This window comes from Homo sapiens, chromosome 19, assembly GCF_000001405.40.
Source record: "Homo sapiens chromosome 19, GRCh38.p14 Primary Assembly".
NCBI classification, from domain to species: Eukaryota; Metazoa; Chordata; class Mammalia; order Primates; family Hominidae; genus Homo; species Homo sapiens.
Window position 1 is genome coordinate 347,691 of NC_000019.10, and position 13,731 is coordinate 361,421.

The 13,731-nt window shown below is 46.4% G+C and overlaps 2 annotated features.

The window, feature by feature from the left end:
• Positions 1,985 to 2,185: a silencer, noted in NCBI's record as "peak3207 fragment used in MPRA reporter construct". NCBI's record gives its function as "represses an SCP1 promoter by STARR-seq MPRAs in K562 erythroleukemia cells {active_cell/tissue: K562}" and the evidence as "EXISTENCE:reporter gene assay evidence [ECO:0000049][PMID:32103011]".
• Positions 4,345 to 4,545: a silencer, noted in NCBI's record as "peak3208 fragment used in MPRA reporter construct". NCBI's record gives its function as "represses an SCP1 promoter by STARR-seq MPRAs in K562 erythroleukemia cells {active_cell/tissue: K562}" and the evidence as "EXISTENCE:reporter gene assay evidence [ECO:0000049][PMID:32103011]".

Below are 13,731 nucleotides of genomic sequence, written 5' to 3' on the forward strand. Positions count from 1 at the left end.
TTGAGATGGATTCTCGCTCTGTTGCCCAGGCTGGAGTGCAGTGGCACAATCTTGGCTCACTGCAAGCCCCACCTCCCGGGTTCACGCCATTCTCCTGGCTCAGCCTCTGGAGTAGCTGGGACTGCAGGCATGTGCCGCACCTGGCTAATTTTTGTATTTTTAGTAGAGATGGGGTTTCACCATGTTGGCCAGGATGGTCTCGATCTGTTGACCTCGTGATCCACCCACCTCACCCTCCCAAAGTGCTGGGATTACAGGCGTGAGCCATAGCACCCGGCCAGTACGGAGGGTTTCTACTATACTCATTCTTGCAATTATTCCATGAGCATAAAATGAAGTAAAACTCAGAAAATAAAGAGCAGCGAATCTTGAGCAGGGAGCTTAAGGGGAGAGGCTGGAGAGGGTGCCCCTGGCCGTGGCACAGTGGTTTGAGTGGACACCTCACGTTGGAGGAGATACGCCTGCATGTGCCTCCACTCCAGGCTCCCTGTTTCTTCTCTGCCTGGTTTTCATGGTCACCGGGCAGCTCCCAAGTTTGACAGAGGCATGGTGTCCCGGGATGAGGGTCCAGGTCACCGCATCGCTACACCTCTTGGAGCAGATGGAGACTGCGTGGTGGAGCTGGGGGTGATGAATCCATTGCAGCCCCGAGGCGGGGAGGCAGGGGACGCTGTAGTTCACCCAAGCAGTGTCGTTCTTGCAAATTTTCCCTAGAAAAAAGAGGCCTCACAAGATACTGGAGGAGCTGTGAGTAGTGCATGGGGTGGCCTGTGGTGGATGCTGGGTGCATCATCAAACCCTCCCCTACACAAGCACTAACTTCCCCCTCTGCTCAGGGTCAAGTATCCCTCTGAGGGGCGGCCCACATCAGCGACTGGCTGGTACAGATCCATAAAGACCCAGGCACCTGTGACCAACTGGGGTCAACCGTGAGGCTGCAGAGCTCCTGTAGGATTGGAGGCGGCTTGGTCATCTCAGCTCGCTCCTCCCTCCCTCCAGCCCTGCTTCCTTCACTCTCTGACAGGTGTTGACCCCAAGGGTAACCCCGACAATATTCCTGCACATAATCTTTGTCTCGCAGTCTATTTCCTGGAGACCTAACCCGTGCCACAAAACATGAGTCACATTTTGAAAGGTTTAAAAAAACAAACAAGGCCCGGCGTGGTGGCTCACGCCTGTAATCCCAGCACTTTGGGAGGCCGAGGCGGGCGGATCACAAGGTCAAGAGATCAAGACCAGCCTGGCCAACCCGGTGAAACCCCATCTCTACTAAAAATACAAAGATTAGCCGGGCGTGGTGGCGGGCGCCTGTAATCCCAGCTACTCGGGAGGCTGAGGCAGGAGAATGGCGTGAACCTGGGAGGCGGAGCTTGCAGTGAGCCGAGATCGCGCCACTGCACTCCAGCCTGGGCGACAGAGCGAGACTCCGTCTCAAAAAAAAAAAAAAAACTTAGTCTATTCGTGCTGCTGTAATAAAGCACCACGGATGAGGTAGTTTATATATACATATTTTAAGAACACATTTATTTATCACAGTTCTGGAGGCTGGAAAGCCTTGATCAAGGCGCCGGCAGTTTTGGTGTCTGGTGAGAGCCTGGTCTCTGCTCCCAAAATGGTGCCTTGGTACAGCATCCTCCAAAGGGAGGAACACTGAACCCTCACATGGCAGAGGGGATGGGCAGAGAGTGCTCCCTTTGACCTCGAGCCCTTTTTTTTTTTTTTTTTTTGAGACGGAGTTTTGCCTTTGTCACCCAGGCTGTGCAATGGCGTCATCTCGGCTCACTGCAACCTCCACCTCCCAGGTTCAAGCAATTCTCCTGCCTAAGCCTCCCAAGTAGCTGGGTTTACAGATATGCACCACGACACCAAGCTAGTTTTTATATTTTTAGTAGAGATGGGGTTTCACCACGTTACCCAGGCTGATCTCGAACTCCTGACCTCAGGTGATCCACCCCCCTCCCTCAGCCTTCCAAAGTGCTGGGATTACAGGCGTGAGCCACCGCGCCCTGCCGACCTTAAGCCCTTTTGTAAGGGTGCTAATCTACTCCTGAGGGCAGAGCCCTGATGTCTTAATCACCTGCCAAAGGTCCCGCCTTTTAATACAATTGCACTGGGGATTAAGTTTCAACATGAATTTTGGAAGGACACCGTCATTCAAACCATAGCAAGAAGCAATACAAATTGAAAGTATAACATAATGAGAGAGAAGAGGCCATAAAAGAGAATGAATAGAAAAAAAAATAGTCCCTGGTGTGGTGGCTCACACATGTAATCCCAGCACTTTGGGAGACTGAGGCGGGAGGATTGCTTGAGCCTAGGAGATCAAGACCAGCGTGGGCAACATAATGAGACCCCATCTCTACCGAAAAACAACAACAACAACAAGAATAACAAATATACACACACACACACACAGACACATATATATACACACACACACATATATACAGACACACATATATATACACACACACACATATATATACACACACAAATATATATACACACATATATACACACACACACATATATATACACACACACACACATATATACACACACACATATATATACACACACACACATATATATACACACACACACATATATACAAACACACATATATATACACACACACATATATATACACACACACATATATATACACACACACACATATATATACACACACATATATATACACACACACATATATATACACACACACATATATATACAGACACACACATATATACACACACACATATATACACACACACACATATATATACACAGACACACATATATATACACACACACACATATATATACAGACACACACATATATACACACACACATATATATACACACACACATATATACACACACACATATATATACACACACACATATATATACACACACACATATGTATACAAACACACAAATATATTAAACACATACACACAAATATATATACACACATATATACACACACACAAATATATAAACACATACACACAAATATATATACACACACATATATACACACACATATATACACACACACATATGTATACAAACACACAAATATATAAACACATACACACAAATATATATACACACATATATACACACACACAAATATATAAACACATACACACAAATATATATACACACATATATACACACACATATATACACACAAATATATACACACATATATACACACACACAAATATATAAACACATACACACAAATATATATACACACACATATATACACACACATATATACACACAAAATATACACACATATATACACACACATATATACATACACAAATATAGACATACACACACAAATACATACACACACAAATATATATACACACAAATATATATACACACATATATACACATACACAAATATATATACACACACACATATATATACACACACACATATGTATACAAACACACAAATATATAAACACATACACACAAATATATATACACACATATATACACACACACAAATATATAAACACATACACACAAATATATATACACACACATATATACACACACATATATATACACACACACATATATATACACACACACATATGTATACAAACACACAAATATATAAACACACACATATGTATACAAACACACAAATATATAAACACATACACACAAATATATATACACACATATATACACACACACAAATATATAAACACATACACACAAATATATATACACACACATATATACACACACATATATACACACACACATATGTATACAAACACACAAATATATAAACACATACACACAAATATATATACACACATATATACACACACACAAATATATAAACACATACACACAAATATATATACACACACATATATACACACACATATATATACACACACACATATATATACACACACACAAATATATAAACACATACACACAAATATATACACACAAAAAATATATACATACACAAATATAGACATACAAATACACACACATATATACACACAAATATATATACACACACATATATACACACACAAATATATATACATACACAAATATAGACATACAAACACATACACAAATATATATACACACAAATATATATACACACATATACACACACACAAATATATATACACACAAATATATATACACACAAATATATATACACACACAAACGTGTATATACACACACATATATACACACATATATAATACTAAAAAAGAAAAAGAAATATAAAACAAAAGAAAGCAAAACAAAATAGAAAGTGTAACAAATATGATGAAAAACAAAGATGAAGCATTTATCCTATCGAGAGACTTAAATAGGCTAAACTCAGAAAGGATCAGAGGACAAATCTCAACCTTATGAGCGAACGTAGGAGTAAACCTAAGACACAGTGAGTCACACGGCGTTCCCGTCCACGAGGCACGGGTGCCTCACCACCAGCATGCTGGTGGGTGATCTAGCTCCCAAATCCAACTTTAGAATCTACTTTCTCAAACTCCTTTTGCAGGTCAGATTCTCCAGGAAGTGAATGCTGAGGTAGAGATTTGTATGCAGGAAATTCTGACGCGAGGGCCCACGGGATCGGCACCTGTGGGGAAGTGAAGGCAGCAGGGCAGAGAGAGAAGGATCTGCAGCACAGTTACCGCGGAGGCTTCGGCTGTGGAGCTGGGCTGGCCCCTCAGAGCTGTATCCTACGGGGGCACGGGACAAAGGCTTTGTACCCATGCATTGACCAGTCATTGGGGAGGGAGAGAAGGTGACCACGGGGTCCAGTTGTCTTCAGGCAAGGACATTTCCCAGAGGTATTGTCTTCCAGAGGCTGGAGGACGAGTGCTGAGTTCTGGGGGGGATCTTCTGGCTGGTGTGCCACAGCTCCACTACATCTTGTTCTGAGAATTTAAATGGCTTGTATTTTTCTTCTAGTGATCACCTTTATAATTATAATTTCATATAATCTACTTAATTCCATTCCTTCAGACCAACACTGTCTAACACGAATGTGATAGAATTTAACATTTTCTAGTAACCACATTAAAAAGGTAAAAAGACACAAGTAAAATTAATTGTAATATGTTATTTAATACAAATATCTGTAAAGTATTATCTTTCCCATGTGTAATCAATATAAAATTATTGAGATATTTACACTCTGTTTTCCATACTGCTTTCAATCTCTGGTGTGTGTTTCACACTTATAGGACATCACAATTCAAATTAGCCACATTTTACTTGCCCGCGAACCACATGTGGCTACAAGACTGCACAGCACAGCTTTAGATGCTGACACTGTTTCTATCTATTGACTCTAGTGTTTAAAAAAAATGACATTAGGATACTTCTGCTTTGCCCTATTCCCCCTCTCCTACATAACAGAATCCTAGTTAATTACATTGATTTTCTTCCTGTTTAACATTATGCTCTTAAATATACTTACATTTCTATTATTGGAATAATCCATTTAAAATAATTTTTTTGATGGGGAATGTGTATAACTGTACCACTTCCTATTATCTCTGCTCCCCTCACTTTTTGTTAACCATACCCTTTCTAGTTTCAAGATTTATAACATCTACATTTGTAGCCACTCTTCTTAGATTTGATTTAATGCCAGTCCTCAAGGTGAATGGACTCAGCTCTCAGCATCAGTTCTCTTGCTGTGGCTTCTCCATTTTCTCTCAGTTGGCTGAAAGTCATTCTTAAATAGTTTCTTCAGGAAGTTCCTTCAATTCTTGCATGCTCTAAGACATTTGTCTGATGTCTTTATTTTATTTATTTATTTTTTGAGACGGAGTCTCACTCTGTCACCCAGGCTGGAGTGCAGTGGCGCAATCTTGGCTCACTGCAACCTCCGCTTCCTGGGTTCAAGCAATTCTCCTGCCTCAGCCTCCCGAGTAGCTGGGATTACAGGCGCCTGCCACCACGCCCAGCTAATTTTTGTATTTTTAGTAGAAACGGGGTTTCACCATGTTGGCCAGGCTGGTCTCAAACTCCTGACCTCAGGTAATCCACCCGCCTCGGCCTCCCAAAGTGCTGGGATTACAGGCATGAGCCGCCACACCTGGCCAATGTCTTTATTTTTTAATGACAGTTTGGCTGGGTATAAAATTATTTCTCCAGACCATCTTACTTCAACATTAAGTCCTCCAGAACTTTGTAGACATTTTTCTATTGACTTCTAGCAATGAATGTTGCTGAAATAAAGTCTGGAGAGAGGCTTTTCCCTTTTAAGTCTCTTGGTCTTATTATCTTGATGCACTCAGGTATAAGCCATTTAGTATCATTTTTCTTGGGACATGGTGAGTTATTCCAATATATAGATGAAAATCTTCTTGTAATTCTGGGAAGTTTTCTTAAATTATAAATTTAAATATTTGCTGCGTTCCATTATTTTGTATCTCTTCTTCGTGAATATCATTTTTATATATGTAGTATGGCCTTTTTCTAGCTTCCAAATCTATTATCTTCTCTCTGACCCTTCATGATGATCTGCTATTTTCATGCATTGTGTTAGCTTTGTCAATCCTGTTTTCCATGTCCTTTTACTATTATGTCTTCTGCAATGTCAGTTCTCCTTAAGGCAATTTAGACTTCATTTTAACTAATTTAGACTTTCATTTTTTCTTCCATTTCTTTCCTAAATTCTGCAACCTCATGTTAATCTCCTTCTGTTTCCTTTCTGTATCTTCTATGAACTGTATTCCTGCTTTGTGATAATTTATTTAAATATTTGGTGATTTTTTTTTTTTTTTGAGAGAGGGTTTCACTGTCACCCAGGCTGGAGTGCAATGGTGCAATCTTGGCTCACTGCAACCTCTACCTCTCGGGTTCAAGCGATTCTCCTGCCTCAGCCTCCCAAGTAGCTGGGATTACAGGCACCCGCCAACTCGCCAGGCTAATTTCTGTATTTTTAGTAGAGATGGGGTTTCACCATGTTGGCCAGGCTGGTCTTGAATTCCTAACTTCAAGTGATCTGCCCACCTCGGCCTCCCAAATTGCTGGGATTACAGGCATGAGCCACTGTGCCTGGCCTGTATTTGGTGATTTTTAAACAATACTTATTTTCTCTGTGACATCTTTATTTCAATCCTATCCTTTTCTTTTTTTTTTTTTCTTTTTTTGAGAGATGGAGTTTCACTCTTGTTGCCCAGGTTGGAGTGCAATGATGTGATCTCGGCTCACCACAGCCTCTGCCTCCCAGGTTCAAGCAATTCTCCTGCCTTAGCCTCCCAAGTAGCTGGGATTACAGGCATGCGCCACCACGCCTGGCTATGTTTTGTATTTTTGTAGAGACAGGGGTTTCTCCATGTTGGTCAGGCTGATCTCGAACTCCCAACCTCAGGTGATCTGCCCGCCTCGGCCTTCCAAAGTGCTCAGATTACAAGCATGAGCCACCGTGCCTGGCCTTAATCCCATCCTTTACTTTCTCATCTTTGAATAAGGGTGATCTCCCTAAACCAGCCTTTATTAGGAGGTTATATGATGATCAAGCCAGGACTCTGCTCCTGTTAGTAGGAATCCTTCTGTGACACAGTCTGTGTGACAGTGAGTTATTTTAGCCTTTGTTGTTCTCTGACTCAGCAAGGCTGGCACAGCAGAGTTGTTCAGAAGGCAACCCCATGCCAGCACCCAGTTTACGGGAAGATTCCTTCCTCCTGCAAATATGATTTCACATGGCAGTTACTCATTCAGCCTGCATTCCCTTCTTCCTGAAGTTTCACGCCAAACCGAATCTATAGAAACTCCTACTGCCAGCCTATTCCTAATATTATTATTATTATTTTGAGACGGAGTTTCACTCTTATTGGGCAATAAGATCTCGGCTCACCACAACCTCTGCCTCCCAGGTTCAAGCAATTCTCCTGCCTCACCCTCCCGAGTAGCTAGGATCACAGGCATGCACCACCACGCCCGGCTAATTTTGTATTTTTAGTAGAGATGGGGTTTCTCCATGTTGGTCAGGCTGGTCTCGAACTCCGACGTCAGGTGATCCGCCCGCCTCGGCTTCCCAAAGTGCTGGGATTACACGCGTGAGACACTGCACCCGGCCACCTGCTCCTAATATTCTGAGAAAGAATTATTAGTGTTGCCCCCAGACGATGGATGTATTTTGGAAAACTGCCCTACCAGCTTTGTCTGAGATCTGAGCCCATAGACACCCTTTCCCAGCATTTCTGACACCCTTAGTAACCTTCCCTTTATCATTAATTTGTTTTCTTATCAGTTCAAGGTCACAGATGTCATCACGTTTCTTCAAAGATAGGTGTGGGCATCTCCATTTCTCATTCCTGTAACTTCTTTTGGATCGTGATGCCCCTGCAGGACTACATCGCTGTTTACTTGCTCCCCTATTGGTGGACATTCCGGCTGCCTCATTTTTCATACCAGCTGTCACTGTCTCTGTATATCTCTATCTATCTATCTGTCCATTGAGAGAGAGCACACATTTAATTCTTTGGTTAATTTATTTGCTTTTTTTCCTAAACAAGAGCAAAGCAATGTTTTCCAGTACAAATTTTGTTGCCAAAAGTCAAGAAGAGGCCAAAAGTATAGAAGCATCGTTTGAAGCTGCAGTGCCCATAGTGAAAAAACAGGAGCAAGTTGGTCTATTGAAAAAAAGCCATGAAATTCAACACAAAGTTCTTTCTTTCTTTCTTTTTTTGAAACGGAGTCTGGCTCTGTCACCCAGGCTGGAGTGCAATGGCTCAATCTCGGCTCACTGCAACCTCTGCCTCCTGGGCTCAAGCGATTCTCCTGCCTCAGCCTCCCGAGTAGGTGGGATTACAGGCACCCGCCACCATGCCCGGCTAATTCTTGTATTTTTAATAGAGACAGGGTTTCACCGTGTTAGCCAGGATGGTCTCGATCTCCTGACCTCGTGATCTGCCCGCCTCGGCCTCCCAAAAGTGCTGGGATTACAGGCGTGAGCTACTACGCCTAGCCCTTTAATTTAATTTGATTTATTTTTAATTTTTATTTTTATTTATTTATTTTTGAGACAGAATCTCACTCCATCACCCAGGTTGGAGTGCAGGGGTGCTATCTCGGCTCACTGCAACCTCTGCCTCCCGGGCTCAAGCGATTCTCGTGCCTCAGCCTCCCGAGTAGTTGGGGGTTATAGGCGCCCGCCACCACGCTCAGCTAATTTGTTTTGTATTTTTAGTAGAGATGGGGTTTCACCATGTTGCCCAGGCTGTTCTTGAAATCCTAACCTCAAGTAATCTGCCCACCTCAGCCTCCCAAAGTCCTGGGATTACAGGTATGGGCCACCACGCCCAGCCCAGCAATGATGAGTTTTAAAGAATATACAGGTTATTTTGTTTTTATTTTATTTTTTATTATTTTTTTGAGACGGAGTCTCGCTCTGTCGCCAGGCTGGAGTGCAGTGGCGCAATCTCTGCTCGCCGCAAGCTCCGCCTCCCGGGTTCAAGTGATTCTCCTGCCTCAGCCTCCCGAGTAGCTGGGACTACAGGCATCTGCCACCATGCCTGGTGAATTTTTTGTATTTTTAGCAGAGACAGGTTTTCACCTTGTTGGCCAGGCTGGTCTTGAACTCCTGACCTCATGATCCACCCACCTCGGCCTCCCAACGTGCTGGGATTACAGTCGTGAGTCACCGCACCGTGCTGGTTTTGGTGGGCATCACCTGTCCTTGGCTCTAATAGAGGATGTTACAGAAATCGTGTAGGCGCAGGTTTAGGTGCAGGCACAGGTGTAGGCATAGCACAGTGTAGGTGCAGGCACAGGTGTAGGTGTAGGCACAGGAGTAGGTGTAGGCACAGGTGTAGGCATAGCACAGTGTAGGTGCAGGCACAGGTGTAGGTGTAGCACAGGTGTAGGTGTAGCACAATGTAGTTGTAGCACAGGTGTAGGGGTAGCACAGTGTAGGTGCAGGCACAGGTTTAGGTGTAGCACAGTTGTAGGTGTAGGCAGAGATGTAGGTATAGCACAGGTTTAGATGTAGGCAAAGGTGTAGGTGCATTGTAGGATTAGGTGCAGGTGTCAGCACGGGGTAAGTATAGGCAGAGGTGTAGGTGCAGGCACAGATGTAGTTGCAGGTACAGATGTAGGTGTATATTTTCTCTTGGAAATAGCAAAGCACCGGCCAGACATGGTGGCTCACGCCTGTAATCCTAGCACTTTGAGAGGCCGAGGTGGCCAGATCACCTGAGGTCAGGAGTTCAAGACCAGCCTGGCCAACATGGTGAAACCCCGTCTCTACTAAAAATACAAAAATTAGCCAGACATAGTGGTGCATGCCTCTAATCCCAGCTACCCTGGTGGCTGAAGCAGGAGAATCACTGGAACCTGGAAGTCGGAGGCTGCAGTGAGCTGAGACCACACCACTGCACTCTAGCCTGGGTAACAAAGTGAGACCCTGTCTCAAAAAAAAAAAAAAATCGAAGCACCTTGAAACTCTACAGTTTCAATCCCAGAATCCATTACCCACTCTCATGTTTAAAAGAAAGCTCCTCTTCCCATGTTCCCTATCTTGGTAAATGGTGATGCCACCCCATGAGAAACAGGGTACTCTCTGCTTCTTTCAGAAACGCCACAGTCTATTTATTTATTTATTTATTTTGAGACAAAGTCTCGGTCTGTCACCCAGGCTGGAGTGCAGTGGCGTGATCTTGGCTCACTGCAACCTCCGCCTCCCGGGTTCAAGTGATTATCCTGCCTCAGCCTCCCAAGTAGCTGGGACTACAGGTGTCCACCACCACGCTTGGCTAATTTTTATATTTTTAGTAGAGATGGGGTTTCGCCATGTTGGCCAGGCTGGTCTGGTACTCCTGATCTCCGGTGATCCCCCCACCTTGGCCTCCCAAAATGCTGAGATTACAGGCGTGAGCCACCGCGGCCGGCCCTGATCATTTTATTTCACCCAGTTCTGACACTGTACTTCCTGAAGATCTCTCCTATCCAGCCATGTCACCTACTTCCAGGCTACAGAGAAATTGAGAGTGCCAAGGAAGCCGCCACTGTCTGTGGTTGGCAGAATAGCACCTCAGGAACGTTCCCAGCCCAGTCCCCAGTCCTGTGAATGGGTCGCCTTAAATGATCAAGGACGTTCCCAGGCCTGTGAATGGGTCACCTTAAATAACAAGAGATTTGCAGATGGGATTAAGGATGCTGAGATGAGAGATTATCCTGATGACCCAGGTGGCCCAAGGTCATTACAGTGTCCTCAAGAGAGGAGGCAGGAGGGTGAGAGTCAGAGAGAAGAGGCTGTGCTGGTGGATTTGAAGATGAAAGACCTCAGCCCGCAACCCCACACCAGGGAGGCAAGCGCCTCCAGATGCCAGAAAAGGCGGGAAAGGGACTCTCCCCTGGGGCCTCTGGAAGAGGCAGCCCTGCTGATACTTGGACTTTAGCCCAAGTGAGATCTACTTTGGACTCCATCCTCCGGAAGGATAAGAGAATAAATGTGCTTTTTGTTGTTGTTGTTTTTGAGACAGAGTCTTACAGTCTCTCTCTGTCACCCAGGCTAGAGTGCAGTGGCGTGATCTCGGCTCACTGCAGCCTCAACCTCCCGGGTTCAGGAGCTTCTCCTGTCTCAGCCTCCTGAGTAGCTGGGATTACGTGCATGCGCCACCACACCCAATTAATTTTTGCATTTTCAGTAGAGATGGGGTTTTGCCATGTTGGCCAGGTCTCGAACTCCTGACCTCCAGTGATCCGCCCGCCTCAGCCTCCCAAAGTGCTGGGATTACAGGCGTGAGCCGCCGCACCCGGCCCGAATGTGCAGTGTTTTAAGTCACCCCATTTGTGGGCGTTTGTTACAGCAGTGGCCAGATGCTAACATGGGAACTGTCTTTGTCCGTTTGCCCCGCTGTAACAAAGTACCATAGACCGGTGGGTTAGAAACAACAGAAGGTTATTTCCCACAGTCCTGGAGGCTGCAAGTCTGAGATCAGGGTGCCAGCATGATCAGGTGCTGGTGACGGGGGCCCTCCTGGTTGCACACACCACCTGCTTCTCAGTGTCCTCACATGGCAGGCAGGGGCCACTGGTGTCTCTTGATCCTCTTTTATAAGGACACCAATCCCATGCATGACAGCTCTGCTCCATAACCTCATTGCCTCCCCAAAGCCTCACTTCCTAATACCATCACCTTGAGGGTGGGAATTACAACATATGAATCTGGGGGAGACACAGGCGTTCAGGCCATAGCAGGGACTGGGGGTCTTTTCCTAACCTATTTGAGCCTCAATCTCCACGTCTGTGGAATGGGGACAATGATAATCCCTCCATCATTAGGTCACTCTAAAGATCCATAAGTTGTGCAACAGGTGTCAGCTGCTTTGACTGTGGCTGTCGTTCCGACTCCGACGGTCCCGTGGCCCCTCAGCAGGAGCGTCGGCTGCTTTGACTGTGGCTGTCGTTCCGACTCCGACGGTCCCGTGGGCTCTCAGCAGGAGCGTCGGCTGGTTTGACCGTGGCTGTCGTTCTGACTCTGATGGTCCCGTGGCCCCTCAGCAGGAGCGTCGGCTGCTTTGACTGTGGCTGTCGTTCCTACTCCGACGGTCCCGTGGCCCCTCAGCAGGAGCGTCGGCTGCTTTGACCGTGGCTGTCGTTCCGACTCCGACGGTCCCGTGGGCTCTCAGCAGGAGCGTCGGCTGGTTTGACCGTGGCTGTCGTTCTGACTCTGATGGTCCCGTGGCCCCTCAGCAGGAGCGTCGGCTGGTTTGACTGTGGCTGTCGTTCCGACTCTGACGGTCCCGTGGGCCCTCAGGAGGAGCATCAGCTGGTTTGACTGTGGCTGTCGTTCCGACTCCGACGGTCCCGTGGGCCCTCAGGAGGAGCATCAGCTGGTTTGACTGTGGCTGTCGTTCCGACTCCGACGGTCCCGTGGGCCCTCAGGAGGAGCATCAGCTGGTTTGACTGTGGCTGTCGTTCCGACTCTGACAGTCCCGTGGGCCCTCAGGAGGAGCGTCGGCTGGTTTGACTGTGGCTGTCGTTCCTACTCCGACGGTCCCGTGGCCCCTCAGCAAGAGCATCGGCTGGTTTGACTGTGGCTGTCGTTCCGACTCTGACGGTCCCGTGGGCTCTCAGGAGGAGCGTCGGCTGGTTTGACTGTGGCTGTCGTTCCTACTCCGACGGTCCCGTGGCCCCTCAGCAGGAGCATCGGCTGGTTTGACTGTGGCTGTCGTTCCGACTCCGACGGTCCCGTGGGCTCTCAGGAGGAGCGTCGGCTGGTTTGACTGTGGCTGTCGTTCCGACTCTGACAGTCCCGTGGGCCCTCAGGAGGAGCATCAGCTGGTTTGACTGTGGCTGTCGTTCCGACTCCGACGGTCCCGTGGCCCCTCAGCAGGAGCGTCGGCTGGTTTGACTGTGGCTGTCGTTCCGACTCCGACGGTCCCGTGGCCCCTCAGCAGGAGCGTCAGCTGGTTTGACTGTGGCTGTCGTTCCGACTCCGACGGTCCCGTGGCCCCTCAGCAGGAGCGTCGGCTGGTTTGACTGTGGCTGTCGTTCCGACTCCGACGGTCCCGTGGCCCCTCAGCAGGAGCGTCGGCTGGTTTGACTGTGGCTGTCGTTCCGACTCCGACGGTCCCGTGGCCCCTCAGCAGGAGCGTCGGCTGGTTTGACTGTGGCTGTCGTTCCGACTCCGACGGTCCCGTGGCCCCTCAGCAGGAGCGTCGGCTGGTTTGACTGTGGCTGTCGTTCC